This window comes from Homo sapiens, chromosome 2 (genome assembly GCF_000001405.40).
Source record: "Homo sapiens chromosome 2, GRCh38.p14 Primary Assembly".
NCBI lineage: Eukaryota > Metazoa > Chordata > Mammalia > Primates > Hominidae > Homo > Homo sapiens.
This window is the reverse complement of record NC_000002.12, coordinates 54690861-54714075: the sequence shown is the minus strand read 5'-3', so window position 1 is coordinate 54714075 and position 23215 is coordinate 54690861. Positions and strand designations below refer to the sequence as shown.

The 23215-nt window shown below is 42.5% G+C and overlaps 2 annotated features.

Annotated features, from left to right (window-relative positions):
* Window positions 14931-15646: an enhancer, noted in NCBI's record as "H3K27ac hESC enhancer chr2:54925567-54926282 (GRCh37/hg19 assembly coordinates)". NCBI's record gives its function as "activates a minimal SCP1, AML or CMV promoter by ChIP-STARR-seq in naive H9 embryonic stem cells {active_cell/tissue: H9 hESC(naive)}" and the evidence as "EXISTENCE:reporter gene assay evidence [ECO:0000049][PMID:30033119]".
* Window positions 22070-22364: a silencer, noted in NCBI's record as "tiled region #11075; K562 Repressive non-DNase unmatched - State 8:EnhW". NCBI's record gives its function as "represses a minimal TATA promoter and a strong SV40 promoter by Sharpr-MPRA in K562 cells {active_cell/tissue: K562}" and the evidence as "EXISTENCE:reporter gene assay evidence [ECO:0000049][PMID:27701403]".

Here is a 23215-nt window from a genome sequence, read left to right as displayed (position 1 = left end):
TCACCTAAGAATCAGGATTCTAGAGCTGGAAGGTATTTTAGAGATACTTTAATTCTACTAAAGGAGGCTCAGGTGATTGCCAAGGATAAGGAGTCCATAACAACTTTATTGAGTGTTTATATATTCAGAGCAATAATACTTGAGTATTGGTGTGGGGAGGGATTAATATAATACACTGAAAGCATCCTGGAATAGTCCAACGGGGCAATCCTTTCAGTTCAGAAGACAGGACTCTGGAGCCAGACTACTCAAATTGTCATCCTTACTTTGCCACTTAGTGGCCTTTTGGCCTTGGACAAGTTACCTAAACCTCTCTGAGCTTCAGCTTCCTCATCTGTAAAATAGGCATAACACTACCTATTTCATAGGATTGTTGTAAGGATTAAATACGTAAAATACATATAAAGCAGCCTGGGGACCATCTAGACTTTCCTTCTCCTTATGGAGCAAAGATTCTGCCAGGCCAAAGAGGCATGCCCACCCAGAACCCATATCCAACCCCACTTTTAAGACCATGTTCCAGATATCTGAGACCCTGGAATTCCCTACACAAATGGCTCTAAGCCCATTTACAGGGCTATCTTCCAGACTTCTCTGCTGGAGTGTGTTCTTCTAGGTTAGAGGGTGACCTAAAAGGAAAGTGATTTGTGGGGTAGGGGAACATGTACCTGGAGCATACATGTATGGACTGAGTGCCCACAAGCCTGTGTGTAAGGCCCCTCAAGAATATTGTAGTTTTTTCAGTGTAAGGACTTTTTTTTTTTTTTTTTCTGTGAGACAGAGTCTTGCTCCATCACCCAGGCTGGAGTGCAATGGCGTGATCTCGGCTCACTGCAACCTCCACCTCTCAGGTTCAAGTGATTATTCTGCCTCAGCCTCCCGTGTAGCTGGGATTACAGGTGCCTGCCACCACGCCCAGCTAATTTTTGTATTTTTAGTAGAGACGGGGTTTCACCATGTTGGTCAGGTTGGTCTCGTACTCCGGACCTCAGGAGATCCACCCGCCTTGGCCTCCCAAAGTGCTAGGATTACAGGCGTAAGCCACCACACCCGGCCGGTAAGGACATTTTTAAAAGTTTATTTGATATCTAACTTTGAAGTACGTAGACATATGGAATGTGGGCCTTCTTTAGTACTCTTGCCCTGGCCCCACAAGCATGAGGGGTAAGCCTGGTGCCTGTCAAAGCAGCCAATACCTTTTAGCTATTATTATTATTACCTTAGAAAGAGACTATGTTCACTAAAGGTAGCAGAAAAAAAAATTTCCTTACCTCACTGACCAGAGAGAACACAGCCTGCCCAGAGAAGGTACTCAGGTTAGAGATTTCTAAAGGCCCAAGCAAAGAGGCCAGACCACTTTTCAGGTTAGTCAGTGTGACGAGGAGGTCAGCAAAACCCTCGGCAAATATCGGTTGACATGGGAATTAAGATTCCATACTAAATGGGAACTCGGCATTTCCGCATGAGAAGAGTAAGAACTCCCCCAGAAAGTCTCTGTAATGAAGAAAACCCACTCCTAGCACGGAGCTGCACAGGCCATGGGACAAGAGGACAATCTTCACATCCAGGAGAAGAGGCCAGTCTTGAGTAGGGCAGAGCATACATTTTTCTCGTGGCCCCAGGGATGAGGTATTAGTGCCAGTTCTTCAGTAAAAACAAGCTGGATGTGGAGACAGCAGAACCCTACTGCTAGCACCACCCTACTTTGATTACACCAGGGACTGTGGGTTCAATCATCTTGAACAGATCCCTTTACTATCTTTATAAAGTCCTGAGTTTTAAAACCTGCTCTGAAGAGTGTAGAATTTGAGTCATTCCTTACACCTGACACCTGAATAAATTGCAACTGGGTCAGAAATATAAATGTTAAAATAAAACCATCGAGTGCTAAAAGAAAACATGAGTAAATTCACCCACAACCTGGAGATGAGAAACACATTCCTGACCATGACTCAAAATCCAGAAGCAACATGGGCAAAAATTGATACCTTCTATTACCAAAAAATCAAGAATATTTTGCATGGCAAAGAATATCCTAAGCAAGTGAAAAGAAAAACAAAAAACTGGGAAAAAATATTTGTGATTAATATCACAGAGAAAGGAAATATATTAGAGATTCTGTTGATTAAAAAATAAAACCAGTAACTCTATCAAAAAATATGAACAGGTAGTTCACATAAGAAGAAATTAATGTGGTCCTTAATCATATGAAAAAAATTCTCAAAATCAGATAAAAGTAAATTGAAACTACATTGATTTTAAAATGTGGAAAATTGTACATTTCTGAAGATATGCTTAAGGACAAAATGAACAAAAGGAAGGCATGCCTAAAGATTGACTGTAAAGTTAAAAAGAAAAACTTTTTGTAGTCATCATATTGGAGTATATTAAATGATACCCCAGGGATACAATCAGCAAAATTGATATTTGGGGAATTCTAAAAGACAATCTGTTTTTTAATCAAATAAATTATAAGAATTAAAAATGAGGGATGGCAGGGGAAACTCTTATTAAAACATATTTAAAGGACATACCAACTTATCTTCTGGAGCATATTTGGATCCAGGGTTGAACAAGCTGTTAAAAAAAAAAAGAACTATGAGATAATCATGAAACTGTTAATACTCAATGTTTGATGATTTTAAGGTATTATTAAATTTTAGAAGTTATAATGGTATTGTGGTTATGCTTTCAAACAAGAGTTCTTATCTTTTAGAGATTCATGCTGAATTATTCACCATGAAAAGATTTGAAGTGTGAATTTGCTTAATTTGTTTAGAAATAATCTGGAGAGGGTAGGGAGAAGTGGATGGGATTCTACATAAAGCCAAATAGGCCCTGAGCTGATAATTACTAAAGCTGGATAATGAGCACATGTAAGTTTGCTCTACTATTCTATTTTTTATATGTTCTACATGCTCCATAGATCTCTTTTTTCCAGTTTTTAAAATTAATATTTTTCAACTGTTCCAAATATTGTTAGAGCCAGGATTCTGGACAGGGTGTGTCTTCACTGACTATTTCAGCCAAAATACTAAGGTCATAATCAGGTGAGCAGCATCTGCTACAGAATCTTCTCTTGGGCCTATTTCCATCTGAAGGTGTTTACTCATTATCCTTGCAGAGTGCTTTCATTATAGTTTCATTATTATAAATTATACTTTCATTATTAAATTATAGTTTCATTAAAATGAATCAAGTAAGATTTTGGTTTATCATTTTCTCCAATGAGAATAGGGAGAAAGTGTAGGGTGATGGTTAAGGATTTGGGCTCTGGAGTCAGACATCTCCATTCAAGTCCAATTCTACCATCTGGATATGTGACCCTGGGCAAGTTATTTATCTCTTAACATCTCAGTTTACTTATCTTTAAAATAGGCATGGATAATAAAACACATTTCATAAATATGTTGTGAGAATTCGATGAACTGGAGAATGTATGTAAAGTGATTATAATACATACCACATAGCGTTATGGGATCCTTGGAGTGTCACTTGGCCATCCAGAAACCTCTGTGGCCAGTGGTACCTTTGCTGGGTTTTGCTCTGGCCCTCTGGGCTCATTCCGCCCACTCTGCCTGGAAGGTTACCCTTGGCTCGCACTACTGGCCTGGATCCCACACCTGCCAAGGGCAAGTCAGGCGTGGAGCAGCAAGAGGTGTGGGCGAGCTTGGGGTCCGGCCACTGTGCGCAGCCAGGCACTCCAGCTGCAGCAGGGTGGGCAGCTCCAGGTGCTGGCTCCAGAGCTGGCTCCCCGCAAGGCTGCTGCTAGACCAGGCGTACCATAAGCAACTTCCACAGCTGACATCAGGGAACATGGTGATACCCAGAAGCTTGGAGACGCCAGAAACTGCAGAGCCCTAAAGAGGGTGTCACAGACCTGGCTCGGGGAGCTCCTAGGTCTGGGATCCCTGACGGGCTGCAGCTCTTCTTTTCTTCTCTCTTCTCTCCTTCTTGTTGCCCGCAACGTGGCAAGCAAAAGGCGTGTTTCAGCCCTGTTTGTGTTACAGCTCTTTTAGCCCCACCATTTGACGGGTCCCGATTTCTTGTCCTGGGTGTCCAGGAAGAATGAGGTACACGGACAAGTGGAGGATGAACAAGACAAAGAGGAGCTTTACTGAACAACAGAACAGCTCAGAGGAGACCCGCAGTAGGTAGCTCCTCTAGGTAGCCAGGGTTTTCCCAATGAGTGTTCAGCTCTCAGCAGAGAAGGGTAGGTCTTCTCTTTAGGTAGGTCGTCCCATCGTCTCTTCAGGTCTGGCTGAGTCCGTGGCTTTTTATGGGCCTCAGAGGGGAGGAAGTGTGTGCCAGTCAGTCCATTAGCAGCCATGGACGGCCCGAAAAAAGCACCACAAGTTCCCACTCTGATCACGGGACCAGCAGCCCGGCCGCCAGACTTCAGACCTTCCCCGGATGGAAGGTGGGGCTTCACCAGGGACCTGCCTGTTTCCCAGGAGCCTGTCTGATCCTGCCGCCTTTATGGTGCCCAGGCGGTTCCGGCCCAGGGGCACCAGCAGGCCAGTGCAAAGCTGCCCTCAGCCCCTGCCGCGGCCTCCCTCACGGGCTTATCGGTGCCCAAAGCCCAGAGGAGGCTGAGGCGGCAGGGGACTGGTGTGTCAGCGCTGCCCTGAGTGTGCGCACACCCAGCTGGGCTGCAACAGCACCTGGGCTTGGCCCCAACCTTGCTCCGAGATCAGAGTGAGCAGCAGGAGCTGGGAGAAGCCAGGCAGCAGGAGCAGACACCTCCAAGGCTGCGGGGGTAAAGGGGGGCCTTCCTGGCCCCCAAGAGTGCGGAGATGCCTGGATCCGCAGCCGCGGCTAGGCGGCTGTAGCTGCACCTGGGAGGGCAGGGCTCCTGCCTGCTCCCGGCCCCCAAGAGCACAGGGAGGCCTGGGTCCACAGCCACGACTTGGGCGGCTACAGCTGTCCCTGGGAAGGCGGGGCTCCTGCCGACTCCATGGAACACAGCATTGCCACGGGCCCAGCTCCTCCTCCAGGCTCCTCTCTGCCTGTCCCTCCATGCCCCACCGTACTGCTCCCCTGCCAGTGGGTGAATCGGCCTGGCCCCACCATGGGGGCTCCCAGGACGGCAGGCTCCGAGGGGTCTCCCAGGGGTGGGCTCCAGGGTCTGCTAGCCTCCTCTCCGCATTTTGCCTGCAGCAGCGGTAGGCAAGGTGCAGGCGGCGCAGCAGCCCCTGCAAACTCTGCACAAACAAACCCGACGCTCTCAGGCGGCCCCATGAGTCCTGGTTGTGCCTTCAGCTGGGGGCTCGGGGGCTGCCAAGACGTGGCGGGAGCAAGGTTGAGGCCCCAGTGGAGGTCCCAAACCTGGGAGTGGGTCCTGCCCCGCTGTGTGAAGGTGAGGGTGGTGCAGTTGGCTGCCTCAGGAACGCGGGGCACAGGGGACGTGGGGCACACCCACCACCGCCACTGCTGCTCCTGCAGCGGCTCCTGCCACCACCGCCTGCGCCTCCCCACTGCAGCCAGCGTGGTGGCAGCGGCTGCTCCGGAAGGCCCACCACTGTCATCAATAGCACTCCAAATATTTATTATTAATTATAGTTGCACAACATCAATATTTAAAATATCCTCTCAAAGAAGACTCCCAAAAAATGTAAAAGGAGGATTTAATTATGCATGAGTCTGTGTGATTGCCTGAGTTACTGTTACTGTGTTTTTAGTTTGCCTGGCCATGAAAGTTTTCTGATAAAATTCTAGAATGTATTAGAACTAATTCTGCATTAAACTAAGATTTCTTCACAACCTTAAAAGCATCAACATTGTTTAAATGCAAAGACTTTAATGAGCTAAATAATATGTTACAAGTTCATTAAATTGCTACCATTATGCAGCATAGATGAATAAATTTCCAAAATTGCACGCAGAAGGGACAGTATTATGTCATCAATGAATGGTAATATAAAGGCCTCAATATCACATAGTTGGGTTCTAGAGTGAGGAAAACTAGAGAAACGATTATCCAAATAGCTTGACACCCAAAATTCTGTATTTCTGAAAATATCCACTTTACTAAAGGGAAGGAGACTAAAAAATTTACTCTTTTGAACCCTGCTGCTGGTACCTGCAAATACCTAATTTTCTATATTAGTGAGGTTTTTGGTTCTGCTGTCTAAAGGTGAACACTAAACAGAATGACATAGATTTATAGAGCTAGGGACACATGAAATTAAAACAAGACCTGGGTTTAACCACAGCTCTAACCACTTTCCTTGCAGCTTTGAACAAAGCAGTCAATCTCTTTAGGTTTCAATTTACTAAACCATAAAATGAAGGAGTAAGACCAAATGATCTTTGGGATCTCTCCCACCTCTAAAATGTTATGGCCAGTTCATTAATAGCATTAGTTTGATATGGGCAATATATTTTCATGAAGTAGTATAATTCAGTCACACATCATATATTAGATCCTGCTTCAAAGAGTGGGGAAAACAATGTGGAATCAGTGCAATTCACTCCTAATCTAGGGCTCTTTAAAAAGAATAGGGCTGGGTGTGACAGCTCATGCCTGTAATCCCAACAGTTTGGGAGGCCAAGACAGGTGGATCACCTGAGGTCAGGAGTTTGAGAACAGTCTGGCCAACATGGTGAAACCCTGTCTCTACTAAAAATACAAAAATTAGCTGGGCATGGTGGTGTACGCCTGTAATCCCAGCTACTCAGGAGGCTAAGGTAGGAGAATCACTTGAACCTGGAAGGCAGAGGTTTCAGTGAGCCGAGATTGCACCACTGCACTCCAGCCTGGGCAACAAGAGCGAGACTCCATCTCAAAAAAATTAAAAATACTACAATAAAATAAAGAGACTTGGCTAACCTTGTGAATAAACTCAAAACAATTGAATTTTACCTTTTAAATGGTAAGGTTTATGGCATGTGAATTATATCCCAACAAAAAATTACATTAGAAAAAATATTATGCTCATCCTCAAAGAAGGAACATGTGTAGCCTAAAGAAGCTTAAATAGTGATGTGGATCAAAGAGTACAAACCTTTAGATAACTGAACTAAAAAACCTTGAACAGCAATTTAGCTAGGCCAGCAGTAAAAGCTACCCTTTACTAGGACTGGCTACATAATTTACATGGCCCAGTAAAAAATGAAAATGCAGGACCCTTGTTCAAAAATTATTAAGAATTTCAAGGCAGCCATAGCAGAGCATTAAACCAAATGCAAACCACCTCAGAACTCAGGCCCCTGACTACACAGATCACACACAACCCCATGAAGCCAGCTGTATTTACTGAACTGTTAATATTTTGTAGGCCCAGGGCTGAATACGTTACAGACCACTCCTTCAATTTTCACCACAACCTTGCAAAAGTAATATTACTATTCCCATTTTATGAAAGAGAAAATAAAGATTTAAAGAGGTTAAAGAATTTATCCAGTTTCCCACATCTATAGGTGAAAGAGCTGTACTTCAAGTGTAGGTCTGACTCCAAAGTCACGTTTTTTAAACAGTGATCTTCAAACTTATTAATAAGACATTTTTAGTGAGCACTCTGATGTGTGTGTAAATATATAAGAATAAATTATATACATGTACTACTGTATTAATAAGTTATATACCATGGCTGGGCATGGTGGCTCACACCTATAATCCCAGCACTTTGGGAGGCCAAGGTGGGTGGATCACAAGGTCCAGAGATCGAGACCATCCTGGCTAACACGGTGAAACCCTGTCTCAACTAAAAATACAAAAAAATTAGCTAGGTGTGGTGGTGTGCAACTGTGGTCCCAGCTACTCAGGAAGTTGAGGCAGGAGAATCTCTTGAACCTGGGATGCGGGGGTCACTGTGAGCCGAGATCGCACCACTGCACTCCAGGCTGAACGACAGAGCGGGACTCCGTCCCAAAAAAAAAAAAAAAAAAGAAAAAAAATGAGTTATATACCCTAAATGTCATGTAAAACAAAGACATTTTAAAGATGACATATGTAGAAATTCTAATATGTTCTTCCCATACCCTAACCACTCACCTTCCACAGTTGCTGTAGTACTACTCCTGATAAGGTATCCCTTAACCCAGGAATTAAGGCTCCCCTGAGTCCAGCCAAACTTAGAGTTAACAGCACTTAAGACGTTAATTTTCTGGCCGGGCGCGGTGGCTCACACCTGCAATCCCAGCACTTTGGGAGGCCGAGGCGGGTGGATCACGAGGTCAGGAGTTCAAGACCAGCCTGGCCAAGAAGGTGAAACTTTGTATCTACTAAAAATACAAAAAAAATTAGCCGGGTGCAGTGCAGGCGCCTGTAATCCCAGCTACTTAGGAGGCTGAGGCAGAAGAATCGCTTCAACTTGGGGGGCGGAGGTTGCAGTGAGCTGAGATCGTGCCACTGCACTCCAGCCTGACAACAGAGTGAGACTCTGTCTCAAAAAAAAAAAAAAAAAAGTTAATTTTCCTATGTAGGAAATTGTAAAAAGGTAACACTCAAAAAGGTGACTTTTTCATAACAGAATTTTAGGATCTGTGAATAGCAGGGGGTATTTTTTTTTTAATCCTGAGGCTGGCTTGCCTTAGAGAAAGCTCATTTCACTTACTGATAAGATAAGCTGGGTGGGCCTGGCCAACATTTTTGGTTAAATCTAGGTTATCTCCAAAGTTATACAGTAAAGGATGATTCATTGTAAAACACAAGAAGGAAAGCATTGACTTGACAAATGTTTACTGGTGCCTACGATGGGTCACAAATCTTGCTGGTAGCTGGGGATAGATCAGTGAACAAGATAGGCTCTCTGGGGCCAAGATCTAAGTATGTTCTATAGAACACCAGGCAAGGGCAACTTCCATGACTGCAGAAATAAGCTTAGGAGGAAATAAGATGCACTTTATCCTCTGCTCATTGGACATAAACCTTTGGAAAGCAAGACAAAGCTTACAGGTATATTTTATTAAGAAAAATTTCAATAATGTTAGAGTTTGATGAAGACCCCAAATTTTCCTTAAAAATGTCAAAACCCATTTTGACATACAATACTCTTTTTTCTCTATACTGCAGTCTACTTTTTAGATTCTCTTTAAATACTGGCCACTAGTGCACTAAATGTACTAAGAAATGTTTTTTAATTCTGCTTTTATCTCTTTGTATATAACAAACTTTGGTTGAATCATGAATGTACTAAAAATTGACAGCACGAGAGAGGAGATATTTATATCTCTTCCTGAAGATGGCGACAGAAGACCATATCTTTAATAAAGGGCCACATCTTGTGTACCAAGAGGTAAACTCAAGCTGTTTAAGCAGAAAATACTTCCTTCATTGAATTTTTACTAAATCTTCCTTTACTAAATCTACAAGATTTTTTAAAGTATAAATAAATGATATTTTTAGTCTACAGTTAGTTTAAAAGGTGGACTATTTGGATAGCTTGTTTGCTTTGCAACAGTAGCAATAGAAAAAAAAGAGTGAGTAGAAAAAGGAAAATTGGGACAGCAGATTATATCTTGAGCTGCACATGTCAACAATTCTTCAGGTTCCTTTCTTTGGTTGCACAGTTACCCCCATATTTATTTATCCTGGTGCTTGTTTTAATACAGCTCCAAAACCAGTGGGAAACTGGAGCCACAGTCAGTCTGCCTGGTGCAAATCCTGTCTCCACTATTTACCAGACGTGTGACTTGACAAGCTAACATCTGTCTCTGTATCTTTGTTTCCTTATCTGTAAAATGGGGATGATGCTGAGCAGAATAAGCATGTAAAGGACTTAGCACAGTGCCTGGCACACACTAGACATTCAATAAATGGTAGCTCTCATCACAGGATCACAGGGCCCTGTCTAGATGACCTAAGAAGCCTCTTCAAAACATAGCTTTCATTATATTTTAGGAAGAGGCATGGTTTTCAGTATTGGCCAATCCCAGACAAGGGGAAAAATACTCTGGGGACTAAGCAATATAATTGGAATATCTTTGGACTCATTGCTTAAAATGCCAAATTGTTGAGTTTTTCATTTTGATGCAATCAAATAATTTGATTGATGAGTCACTCTAATTGCCACTCAGAATTGTTAGTTTTTGCCTTAATGAAAAATTGCATAAGCAATTTTATTCAAAATGCCACATTTATGTTAATCTATTTCTTCTTTTATTAGGTTGTTGCAAAAGTAATTGCTGTTTTTGCCATTTTAAAAGTAATGGCAAAAAAGTAATTGCTGTTTTTGCCATTTAAAAGTAATGGCAAAACGGCAAAAACAGCAATTACTTTCGTACCGACCTAATAAATTGTTATATATACTTGAAATTCCAATGCATTTTTCTAATTCAGCATTTAATCTTAAAATATTTAGAAAAAAACATAAAGTAAACACCATTTTCCAAATTACATGACCTTAATGAGCAAGTTCAATTTACTTGTATTCGTTGTTTTTTGTTGTTGTTGTTGAAGCCTTTTTAAAATTTATCACCTCAAGCATTTATCCTTTGTGTTACAATCAATCCAAATATAGTCTGTCAGTTATTTTTAAAAGTACAATTAAATTAATTTTACTATAGTCACCCTGTTGTGCTATCAACTACTAGACCTTGTTAATTCTTTCTAACTTTTGTGCCCATTAACCATCCCCACTTCCCCAACAGCCTCCTACTACCCTTCCCAGCCTCTGATAACTATCCTTCTACTCTATCTCCATGAGTTCAATTATTGTAATTTTTAGCTCCCACAAATAAGTGAAAACATGTGAAGTTTGTCTTTCTGTGCCTGGCTTATTTTACTTAACATAATGACCTCCGGTTCCGTTCATGTTCTTGCAAATGACAGGATCTCATTCTTTTTTACGGCTGAATAGTACTCCATTGTGTCTATGTACCACATTTTCTTTATCCATTCATCTGATGATGGACACTTAGGTTGCTTCCCAATCTTGGCTATTTTGAATAGTGTTACGATAAACATAGGAGTAAAGATTTCTCTTTGATACACTGATTTCCTTTCTTTTGGGTTTATCCTAGGAGGGGGAATGCTGGATCATAAGGTAGCTCTATATTTAGGAAACTCCAAATTGTTTTGAGGAACCTCCAAATTGTTCTCCATTTTGGCTATATTAATTTACATTCCTACCAACAGTGTACAAGAGTTCCCTTTTCTCCACACCCTTGCCAGCATTTGTTATTACCTGACTTTTGGATGAAAGCCATTTTAACTGGAGTGAGATGATATCGCATTGTAGTTTTGATTTGCATTTCTCTGATGATCCATGATGTTGAACAGCTTTTCATATCCCTGTTGGCCATTTTTGTGTCTTCTTTTGAGAAATGTCTATTCAGATCTTTTGCCCATTTCTAATTGGATTATTAGACTAGTCCTATGAAGTTGTTTGAGTTGTTTATATAGTCTGATTTTAATCCTTTATCAGATGGATAGTTTGCAAATATTTTCTCCCATTTTGTGGGTTATCTCTTCAGTTTGTTGATTGTTTCCTTTGCTGTACAGAAGCTTTTTAACTCGATGTGATCCCATTTGTCCATTTTTGCTTTGGTTGCCTGTGCTTGTGGGTTATTACTCAAGAAATCTTTGCCCAGTCCAATGTCCTGGAGAGTTTCCCTAATGTTTTATTTTGGTAGTTTCATAGGTTGAGGTCTTAAATATAAGTCTTTAATCCATTTTGATTTTATTTTTTATATGGCAAGAGATAGGGAGATGGGGTCTAGTTTCATTCTTCTGCATATGGATATCCAGTTTTCCCAGACAATTTACTGAAGAGGCTGTCCTTTTCCCAGTGTATGTTCTTGGCACCTTTGTTGAAAACAAGTTTGCTGTAGATGTGTGGATTTATTCTAGGCTCTCTGTTCTGTTCCACTGATCTACATATCTGTTTTTATTCCAGTACCACGTCATTTTGTTTACAATAGCTCTGTACTATAATTTAAAGTCAGGTAATGTGTTTCTTCCAATTTTGTTCTATTTGCTCAGGATAGCTTTGGCTATTCTGGGTCTTTTGTGATTCCATATACATTTTAGGACTGTTTTTCTTCTATTTCTGTGAAGAACGTCCTTGATATTTTGATAGGGATTCCATTGAATCTGTAGATTGTTTTGGGTAGTATGGACATTTTAACAATATTAATTCTTCTAATCCATGAACATGGAATCTCTTTCTAGTTTTTGGTGTCCTCTTCAATTTCTTGCATTAGTGTTTTACAGTTTTTATTGTAGGTATCTTTGACTTCTTTGGTTAATTCCTAGGTATTTTATTTTATTTGTAGCTGTTATAAATGGGATTACTTTCTTGATTTCTTTTTCAGATTGTTTACTTTTGGCATTTACAAATGCTACTAATTTTTCTATGTTGATTTTGTATCTTGCAACTTTACTGAATTTATTTATGAGTTCTGATAGTTTTTTGGTCGAGTCTTTAGGTTTTTCTAAATATAAGATCATATCATCTGCAAACAAGGATATTTTGACTTATTCTTCTCCAATTTGTGTGCTCTTTATTTCTTTCTCTTGTCTGATTGTTCCAGCTAGGACTTCCAGTACTACGCTGAATAACAGTGGTGACAGTGGGCATCCTTGTCACGTTCCAGATCAAAAAGAAAGGCTTTCAGTTTTTCCCCATTGTGTATGGCACTAGTTGTTGGTCGGTCATATATGGTTTTTATCATGTTGGGGTATGCTCCTTCTATACCCAGATTTTTGAGGATTTTTATCATGAAGGGATGTTCGATTTTATCAACATCAATTGATATAATGACTTATTATTAATTGATTTATCAGCATCAATTGAAATGATCTCATGGTTTTTACACTTCATTCTGTTGATATGCTATATCACATTGATTGATTTGCATATGTTGAACCATTCTTGCATCACTAGAATGAAACCCACCTGGTCATGATGAATCATCTTTTTAATGTGTTGTTGAATTCAGTTTGCTATCTTGTTGAGGATTTTTGCAATTATATTCATCAGTGATATTGGCCCATAGTTTTCTTTTTCTGATGTGTCTTTGTCTGGTTCTAGTATTAGAGTAATATTGGCCTCGTAGAATAAGTTTGGAAGTATTCCCTCCTGTTCTACTTTTTGAAATAATTTGAGTAGGATTGGTAGTAGTTCTTTAAATGTTTGGTAGAATTCAGCAGTGAAGCCCCCGGGTTCCGGGCTTTCCTTTGCTGGGAGACTTTTTATTATGGCTTTGATCTTATTACTTGTTATTGGTCGGTTCAAATTTTGGATTTCTTCATTGTTCAATCTTGGTAGGCTGTACGTGTCTAGGAATTTATCCATTTCTTCTAGATTTTCCAATTTATTGGCATATCGTTGCTCACAGTAGCCACTAATGACCCTTTGAATTTCTGGGGTATCAGTTGTAATGTCTCCTTTTTCATCTCTGATTTAATTTATTTGGGTCCTCTCTTTTTTTCTTAGTCTGACAAAATGTTTGCCAATTTTGTTTATCTTTGCAAAAAAACACAACTTTTTGTTTCACTGATATTTTGTGCTGTTTTCTTCATTTTAAATTCATTTATTTATGCTCTGATATTTATTATTTTCTATCTTCTCCTAATTTTGGATTTTGTTTGCTCTTGCTTTTCTAGTTCTTTAACATCTATCATAAGGTTGTTTATTTAAAGTTCTTCTTTTTTGATATAGGCACTTATAGCTATAAACTTTCATCTTAGAACTGCTTTTCATATATATCACATATTTTGGCGTGTTGTGTTTCCATTATAATTTGTTTCAAGAAATTTTGAATTTTCCTTCTTAATCTCTTCATTGACCCACTGGTCATTCAGGAGCATGGTGTTTAATTTCCATGTGTTTGTATAGTTTCTAAGATTCCTCTTGTTATTGACTTCTAGTTTTATTCCATTGTGATCAGAGAAGATGCTTGATTTTATTTCAATGTTTTAAGACTTGTTTTATGACCTAACATATGGTCTCTCCTTGACAATGATCCATGTGCTGAGGAAAAGAATGTGTATTCTGTAGCTGTTAGTGGAAATGTTCTGTAAATATAAATTAGGTCCATTGGGTCTATAGTGCAGATTAAGTCCAATGTTTCTTTGCTGATTTTCTATCTAGAAGATCTGCCCAATGCTGAAAGTAGGGTGTTGAAGTCTCCAGCCATTATTATATTGGAGTCTATCTCTCCCTTTAGCTTTAAAAATATTCACTTTATATATCTGGGTGCTCCAGTGTTGATTGTACATATATTTATTTTTATTTCTATTTTTTTCTTTTTTTAATCTTATTTATTTTTATTTTTTATTTTTTATTTTTTTTAATTATTTTTTTATTTTTATTTTTTTCATTGATCATTCTTGGGTGTTTCTTGCAGAGGGGGATTTGGCAGGGTCACAGGACAACAGTGGAGGGAATGTCAGCATACAAACAAGTGAACAAAGGTCTCTGGTTTTCCTAGGCAGAGGACCCTGCGGCCCTCCGCAGTGTTTGTGTCCCTGGGTACTTGAGATTAGGGAGTGGTGATGACTCTTAACGAGCATGCTGCCTTCAAGCACCTGTTTAACAAAGCACATCTTGCACCGCCCTTAATCCATTTAACCCTGAGTGGACACAGCACATGTTTCAGAGAGCACAGGGTTGGGGGTAAGGTCATAGATCAACAGCATCCCAAGGCAGAAGAATTTTTCTTAGTACAGAACAAAATGAAGTCTCCCATGTCTACTTCTTTCTACACAGACACAGCAACAATCTGATTTCTCTATCTTTTCCCCACCTTTCCCCCTTTTCTATTCCACAAAACCGCCATCGTCATCATGGCCAGTTCTCAATGAGCTGTTGGTACACCTCCCAGATGGGGTGGTGGCCGGGAAGAGGGGCTCCTCACTTCCCAGAAGGGGCGGCCGGGCAGAGGCGCCCTCCACCTCCGGGACGGGGCAGCGGCCGGGCGGAGGCGCCCCCCACCTCCCTCCCGGACGGAGCGGCCGGCCGGGCGGGGGCCGACCCCCCACCTCCCTCCCGGACAGGGTGGCTGCCGGGCGGAGACGCTCCTCACTTCCCAGATGGGGTGGCAGCCGGGCGGAGGGGCTCCTCACTTCTCAGACGGGGCGGCCGGGCAGAGACGCTCCTCACCTCCCAGACGGGGTCGCCGCCGGGCAGAGGCGCTCCCCACATCTCAGACGATGGGCGGCCGGGCAGAGACGCTCCTCACTTCCTAGACGGAATGGTGGCCGGGAAGAGGCGCTCCTCACTTCCCAGACTGGGCAGCCGGGCAGAGGGACTCCTCTCATCCCAGACGATGGGTGGCCAGGCAGAGACGCTCCTCACTTCCCAGATGGGGTGGCAGCCGGGCAGAGGCTGCAATCTCGGCACTTTGGGAGGCCAAGGCAGGCGGCTGGGAGGTGGAGGTTGTAGCTAGCCGAGATCACGCCACTGCACTCCAGCCTGGGCAACATTGAGCACTGAGTGAACGAGACTCCGTCTGCAATTCCGGCACCTCGGGAGGCCGAGGCTGGCGGATCACTCGCGGTTAGGAGCTGGAGACCAGCCCAGCCAACACAGCGAAACCCCGTCTCCACCGAAAAAAGACGAAAACCAGTCAGGCGTGGTGGCGCCGCCTGCAATCGCAGGCACTCGGCAGGCTGAGGCAGGAGAATCAGGCAGGGAGGTTGCAGTGAGCTGAGATGGCAGCAGTACAGTCCAGCCTTGGCTCGGCATCAGAGGGAGACCGCGGAAAGAGAGGGAGAGGGAGAGGGAGAGGGAGAGGGAGAGGGCATATATTTAAAATTATTATATCCTCTTGCTGAATAGACCACTTTATCATTATATAATGACCTTCTTGGTTTCTTCTTATAGTTTTCATCTTGAAATTTATTTTGTCTGATGTAAGTATAGCTACTCCTGCTCTTTTTTGGTTTCCATTGGTATGGAATTTTTTCTGGCCCTTTGTCTTCAGTTTATGTGTGTCTTTACAGATGAAGTACGTTTCCTGTCAGCAACAGATCATTGGGTCTTTTTTTCCCCCCATTCAGTCACTCTGCATATTTTGATTGGCAAATTTGGCCCATTTACATTCAGTGTTGTTGTTGATAAGTAAGCCCTCACTCCTGTCATTTTATTGTTTGTTGTCTGGTTGTTTTGTGGTCTTCTCTTCCTTTTTTCCAGTCTTCCTTTTAGTGAAGGTGATTTTCTCTAGTGGTATGATTTAATTTCTTGTTTTTTATTTTTTATGTATTTGTTGTTTGTTTTTTGACTTGAGGTTACTATGAGGCTTGCAAATACTGTCCTATAACCCTTTATTTTAATGACTTAACTTTGTTTGCATAAACAAACAAACAGACAAGCAAAAGAAAACTAATAAAAATTCTACACCTTAACTTTGTCCTCCCACCTCGCTTTGTAGCTTTTTGTTGTTTCTACTTATATATTATTGTATTGTCTGTGTCTTTAAAATTTGTTGCAGTTATTATTTTTGATTAATCATTTAGTCTTTCTACTTGAGTAGTTTACTGTGATAATACTCTGTGTTTTTCTGTATACTTACTATTACCAGTGAGTTTTGTACCTTCAGATGACTTCTTATTGCTTATTAATATTCTTTTCTTTCTAATTGAAGTTCTCCATTTAATATTTCTTGCAGGACAGAGCTGGTGTTGATGAAATCCCTCAGCTTTTGTCTGGGAAAGTCTTTATTTGACTCTCATGTTTGAAGGATATTTGCACTGGATATACTATTCTAGGGTAAAGGCTTTTTTCGTTCAGCACTTTAAATATGTCATGCCACTCTCTCCTGGTTAGTAAGGTTTTCACTGAAAAGTCTACTGCCATCCGTGTTGGAGCTCCATATATTATTTGTCTCTTTTCTCTTGCTGCTTTTAGGATCCTTTCTTTATCCTTGACCTTTGGTAGTTTGATTATTAAACCCCTTGAGATAGTCTTCTTTGGATTAAATCTGCTTGGTGTTCTATAACCATCTTATAATTGGATATTGATATCTTTCTCTAGGTTTGGGAAGTTCTCTGTTATTATCCCTTTGAATAAACTTTCTACCCCCATCTCTCTCTTTCTCTACCTCCTCTGTAAAGGAGAAACTTTTAGATCTGCCCTTTTGAGGCTATTTTCTAGATCATGTAGGTGGGCTTCATTGCTTTTTATTGCTTTTTCTTTTGTCTCCTGTGACAAAATCTTCTTTCAAATAGTCTGTCAAGCTCACTAACTCTTTCTTCTGCTTGATCAATCTGATATTAAAAGACTCTGATGCATTCTTCAGTATGTCAATTGCATTTTCCAACTGTAGAATTTCTGCTTTATTTTTTATTTTATTTTATTTTATTTTTCAGATGGAGTCTCACTCTGTTGCCAGGCTGGAGTGCAGTGCCATCTCAGCTCACTGCAACCTCTGCCTCTCGGGTTCAAGTGATTCTCCTGTCTCAGCCTCCTGAGTAGCTTGGGCCTACAGGTGGGCGCCACCATGCCCAGTTAATTTTTACATTTTTAGTAAAGACAGGGTTTCATTATGTTGGCCAGGACGGTCTCAATCTCTTGACCTCTTGATCCACCCGCCTCGGCCTCCCAACGTGCTGGGATTACAGGCATGAGCTGCCGCATCTGGCCTTCTGCTTTATTTTTTAAAAATTACTAATCTCTTTGTTAAATTTATTTGATAACATTCTGAATCCCTTCTCTGTATTATCTTGAATTTCTCTGAGTTTCCTTAACACAGTTGTTTGGAATTCTCTGTCTGAAAGGTCACATATCTCTTTTTCTCCAGGATTTGTCCCTGGTGCTTTATTTAGTTTTACTGGATAGTCTTGATGCTTGTGGATGTTTGTCTGTGTCTGGGCACTGAAGAGTTAGGTATTTATTGTAGTCTTCATAGCCTGGGCTTGCTTGTACCAGTCCTTCTTGGAAAGGCTTTCCAGATATTCAAAAATACTTAGGTGTTGTGATCTAAGCCGTAGCTGCATTAGGGGGCACCTCTAGCCCAGAAATGGTCTGATTATTACAGACACGTAGAGGTACCACCTTGATGGTCTTGGATATGATCCAGAAGAATTCTCTAGATTATCAGGCAAAGACCCTTGTTTTCTCCCCTTATTTTCTTCCAAACAAATAAAGTCTCTCTCTGTTGTGAACTGCATGGAGCTTGGGGTGGGGTGACACAAGCACTCCTGTGGCCACCACCACTGGGACTGTGCTGGGTCAGACCTGAAGCCAGCACAGCACTGGGTCTCACCCAAGGCCTGCTGTAACCACTCCCTGACTACTGCCTATGTTCACTCAAAGCCCTGGAGCTCTACATTCAGTAGGTGGCAAAGCCAGCCAGACTTATGTACTTCCCTTTGGGGTGGCAGGTTCCCCCAGGCCGAGTAGGTCCAGAGGTTTTATCCTAGAATCAGGGAACTAGAGTAAAAAACCTTAGATGTCTACCTGGTGTTCTGTTGTACTGTGGTTGAGCTGGCACTCAAACCAGAAGACGCAGGTTTTCCCACTCTTCCCTCCCCTTTCCAAAGGCAGAGGAGTTCTCATCCTATGGCTACTGCCACCTTAAGCCCAGAGGGGAGTGCTGCCAGACTACTGCTGAAGTTCCCTTTAGGCCCAAGTGCTCTTCAGTCAGCTTGTGGTGAATGCTGCCTGGCCTGAGATACACCCTTCAAGGGAGTGGGCTCCCCTCTAGCCCAGGGCAGGTCCAGAAATGCTGTCTAATTGCCACGTCCTGGAATCGAGAACCACAAGAGCCCACTTTGTGCTCTATCCCACTGTGGCCGAGCTGCTACCTAAGGTGCGAGACAAAGTTCCCTTTGCTTTTCCCTTCACTTTTCTTGAGCAGAAGGAGTCTCTCCCCATAGTCACCACAGCTGGGAATATGCTGAGTCTCACCTGAAGCCAGTAAGACTCAGAGTCTCACCCAAGGCCCAGGGCGTATTATCTGGTTATCATTTCTGGTTATTCAAGACCCAAGGGCTCTTTAGTCAGCAGGTGACGGGTCCTGCCAGGACTGGTTCCTTTCCTTCAAGGCAGCAGGTTCTCTTCTGGCCCAGGATGTGTCTAGAAATGGCATCTGGGGCCGGGCGCGGTGGCTCACACCTGTAATCCCAGCACTTTGGGAGGCCGAGGTGGGCGGATCACGAGGTCAGGAGATCGAGACCATCCTGGCTAACACGGTGAAACCCTGTCTGTACTAAACAAAATACAAAAAATTAGCTGGGCATGGTGGCAGGCACCTGTATTCCCAGCTACTTGAGAGGCTGAGGCAGGAGAATGGTGTGAACCCAGGAGGCAGAGCTTGCAGTGAGCCGAGATGGCGCCACTGCACTCCAGCCTGGGCGACAGAGTGAGACTCCGTCTCAAAAAAAAAAAAAAAAAGAAAGAAAAAAAAAAAAAGAAATGGCATCTGGGAGCTAGGGCTTGGGAAAGAGGCCTCATGACTCTGACTGGTGCCCTTTCCTACAGTGGCTGAGCTGGTATCCAAGTTGCAAGACAAAGTCCTCCCCACTCTTTCCTCTTCTCTCCTCAAGTGGAAGGAAGAGGTCTCTTTTGGAGCAGTAAGATGAGCAGCCTAGGATTGAGGGGGTTGCACAAGCACTCCCTTACCCACCCCATCTGGTATCTCAGTAGGTTGTGTGCCCCCCAAGTCCACTGGCTCTGGGCCCAGTTCAGCACTAGGACTTGCCTATGTGTTGCAGTCTTTGTGGCCTAGACTGCCTTTCAAGTTTATTTAGGGCCCCAGAGCACTTTAGCCTGGGGTGGCAAGGCTTGCCACAGCTCAAGTTCCATCTTCTGGGATGAGGAATAACCCTCTAGCTAGAGCTGGTCTAAATGCTCCCTCTGTGGGTACGTGTCAGCTGAGTTCAGCCTGGTTTTGCTTTCTGCCATGACAAGGCAGCACTAAGTTCAATGCAAGTCTCACAATTACTGCACTTTCCCTCTCCCAAGTGCACAGATTCTCTCTCTGTGCCATGCTGCTACTGCCAGGGGGCGGGGGAGGGGTGGTGTCAGCAAATCAAGAGTGTCTTTCCTACCTTCTTCAATGCCTCTTTCAGCTAGATAAAGTTAAAACCAGTGCTCACCTGATTTTTTATTCTTATGAAGGTGCTTTTTGTGAGTAGACAGTTGTTCAATTGCTGCCCTTGCAGTCAAGACAATTGGTGGAGTCTTCTATTCAGCCATCTTGCTCTGCTCCTCCTTTTGAAGTAAGTCTTCTGTATTTTGTTTTCACTACTATCCTCTTTTTGCCTTTTCTTCTTGATATTGTTCATTATTTGAGGGTTTAAGCAGTTCTTTCAGCATTCATCCTTTTAACTGTCATTAATTTTTTTAACTGTCAGAATAGTTTTCCATATTAGCAACCAATATGCCTGCTTCCAGCTGGTCGAGATTCAGTGAGTCTGTCGATATGGTTGGTCTGTTTTGTTTTTCCATGTAAACAGTTCAATTTATCCACAAAATCCCAATTTTCTTGCTACCATCCCTTACCTAATTAATTATTCATCCTCTGCACAGAGTTGTCTTTTGAATTTGAATTCTTTATTTTTTGATGGAATCGTTCCTCATTTTGATCTACCTAGTGTCACTGAGACTCAGGCCCTTTGGTAGTGGTGAAGGCTGGCATCATACCATCCATGTGGTCACACTCATCCCCCTGCTTCAATCTGATGGCCTGCAGAGACATCTGGGCCCACAGCAGAGATTCCCCTAAGAACCCTGGGCAAGGAGAGTCAAAAGGACCCATCCATATGGTAAAGCTTGTTTTCCATTAGCTGAACAAACTGACATTTTCTAAAAGTGTGCTGCCCTTTGGTAAAGCTTATTGGTAAAGCTTGTCAGTAAATGAGCTTTACCAACAAGTTTACACATTTCACCCCTTTGTAATCAACATTGTTCAGCTGCACTCTTAAGATTTGGAAAGGATGGGGCCAGGCACAGTGGCTCATGCCTGTAATCCCAGCACTTTGGGAGGCCGAGGTGGGCGGACCACGAGGTCAGGAGATCGAGACCATGCTGGCTAACATGGAGAATGGCGTGAAACCCAGGAGGCGGAGCTTGCAGTGAGCCGAGATCACGCCATTGCACTCCAGCCTGGGCAACAGAGGAAGACTCTGTCTCAAAGAAAAAAAAGAAAAAGAAAAAGATTTGGAGAGGATGGTTTTTTTTTTTTTTTAGAGATGGGGTTTTGCTATGTTGCCCAAGCTAGTCTTGAACTCCTGGGCTCATGTGATCCTCCCACCTCAGCCTCCTGAGTAGCTGGGATGACAGGTGCCCACCACTGCATCCAGCAGGAGGCTGATTTTTAAAGTTAGAGGAATTTCTTGTGTAGTCTCCTCTGGCACTATTTCAGTGTTTCACTTGCTCCCTCCTAGTAATTTTATCATCCTTTCAAGTAAAACAGAGAAAAACCATGATGTGGCAGTTTTATACTTTGATGGCCTCAGGGAAATACACTTACTGGTTGTCATGCCCTTATGTATTATGTGTTCAAGCTCTTGACTCTGGCCTTGGCCATGTGGCTTGCTTTGGCCAATGGGACATTAGCTAGTGTGGTGCAAGCAGAGGCTTAATACACACTTTCACATGGGGGCTTGTCCTCTTCAAATGTTCCTTGGAGCTAGACCACTGTATTAGGCTGTTCTTGTATTGCAGTAAAGAAATACTTGAAATTTGGTAATTCATAAAGAAAAGAGGTTTAATCAACTTATGGTTCTGCAGGCTGTACAAGCATGGTGCCAACATTGCTCAGCTTCTGGGGAGGCCTTGGGGAGCCTTTACTCATGGTGGAAGGTGAAATGGGAGCTTGCTCATCATATGGCAAAAGCCAAAAGCAGGAGCATGGTCAGGGGGTGGTGTGCCATACACTTTTAAATGACCAGATCTCACAAGAACTTAGAGTGAGAGTTTGCTTATCACCAAGGGGATGGGATGGCCCAAGACATTCACAAGGAATCTGCCCCCATGATCTAAACACTTCTCACCAGACCTCATCTCTAGCATTGGGGATTAGAGTTTACCATGAGACTTGGGTGGGACATCCAAACCATAGGAACCGCTGAAGGGTGAAAAGCCAAGTGCAAGGAGATCCTGGAGGATGAGAGGCCATTTGGACATCCCAGCTCCAGCCAAATTGCCGGCTGAATGCAGTCGCATGAGTGATCTCAGCCACCCAACGTGGAGCAGAAGCTCCTCCCAGTGGAGCTCCATCAACCGCAGAACCATGACAAGTAATAAATCACATAGCTACTGTGCTTTGAGATGGCTTACAACACAGCAATCGATAGCTGAGCTATGTGTTAATAAGTTACTGTCTTCATTACATAGGGTGCTTACCTGAGATTTTCTCTTATGAAAGCATTACTGTGTGTACATATTTACCTTTGATAAAGATTCAGCTCCAAATTTATATTCAACTGAAATGTCAGAGGGATGCCTGACACCTTGCAATGTGCTTGGCCTCTGAGCCATTTAAAAACATATGTCACCCCGGTGCAGCTTTGTCCTCACTGACATGTCTACCAAGAAGCCTGGCTGGCTGGTGTTCCAGGCATTGTATGTCATATTTCTGAAAATGCTGACAGATTGTTTCACAGAATATTGTCATAATATCGTGTTACTAAATCTTGAGTTGCCTTCATGGTAGCACATTTTTGCAGGAATTGGTCTTATCCTGTTAGGTATCTATGACTATGTTTATGCTTAATCCCTGAAACTGGGAATTCAATATTTCTGAATGATAATTAACATCTATAGATTTTGATGTAGTTTTAATAATTGAATCAATATTTCTAACAACTTTATTAAATGCATTAATGAGATGCAAATTCCTTTTATTAAAATAAAAATGTGTATTTTTTTATTTTCTTTTTTGAGATGGAATCTCACTCTGTCGCCCAGGCTGGAGTGCAGTGGGACGATCTCAGCTCACTGCAACGTCTGCCTCCCAGGTTTAAACGATTCTCCTGCCTCAGACTCCCGAGTAGCTGGGACTACAGGTGCCCGTCACCACGCCTAGCTAATTTTTGTAGTTTTAGTAGAGATGGGGTTTCACCATATTGACCAGGCTGGTCTCGAACTCCTGACCTTGTGATCCACTCGCCTCAGCCTCCCGAAGTGCTGGGATTACAGGCGTGAGCCACCGTGCCCAGCCTAAAATAAAAATTTATTAAATGTAATTATGAAACTAGAAAACTATAAAGAAAACAATTCACCTATAGGAAAAGTATGAACATTAACAGTGACCTGGTTAAATAAACTGTAGGATAGCTACACAATGGAGTTTTATTATTTACCAGGCTGTCTGTTAGTTT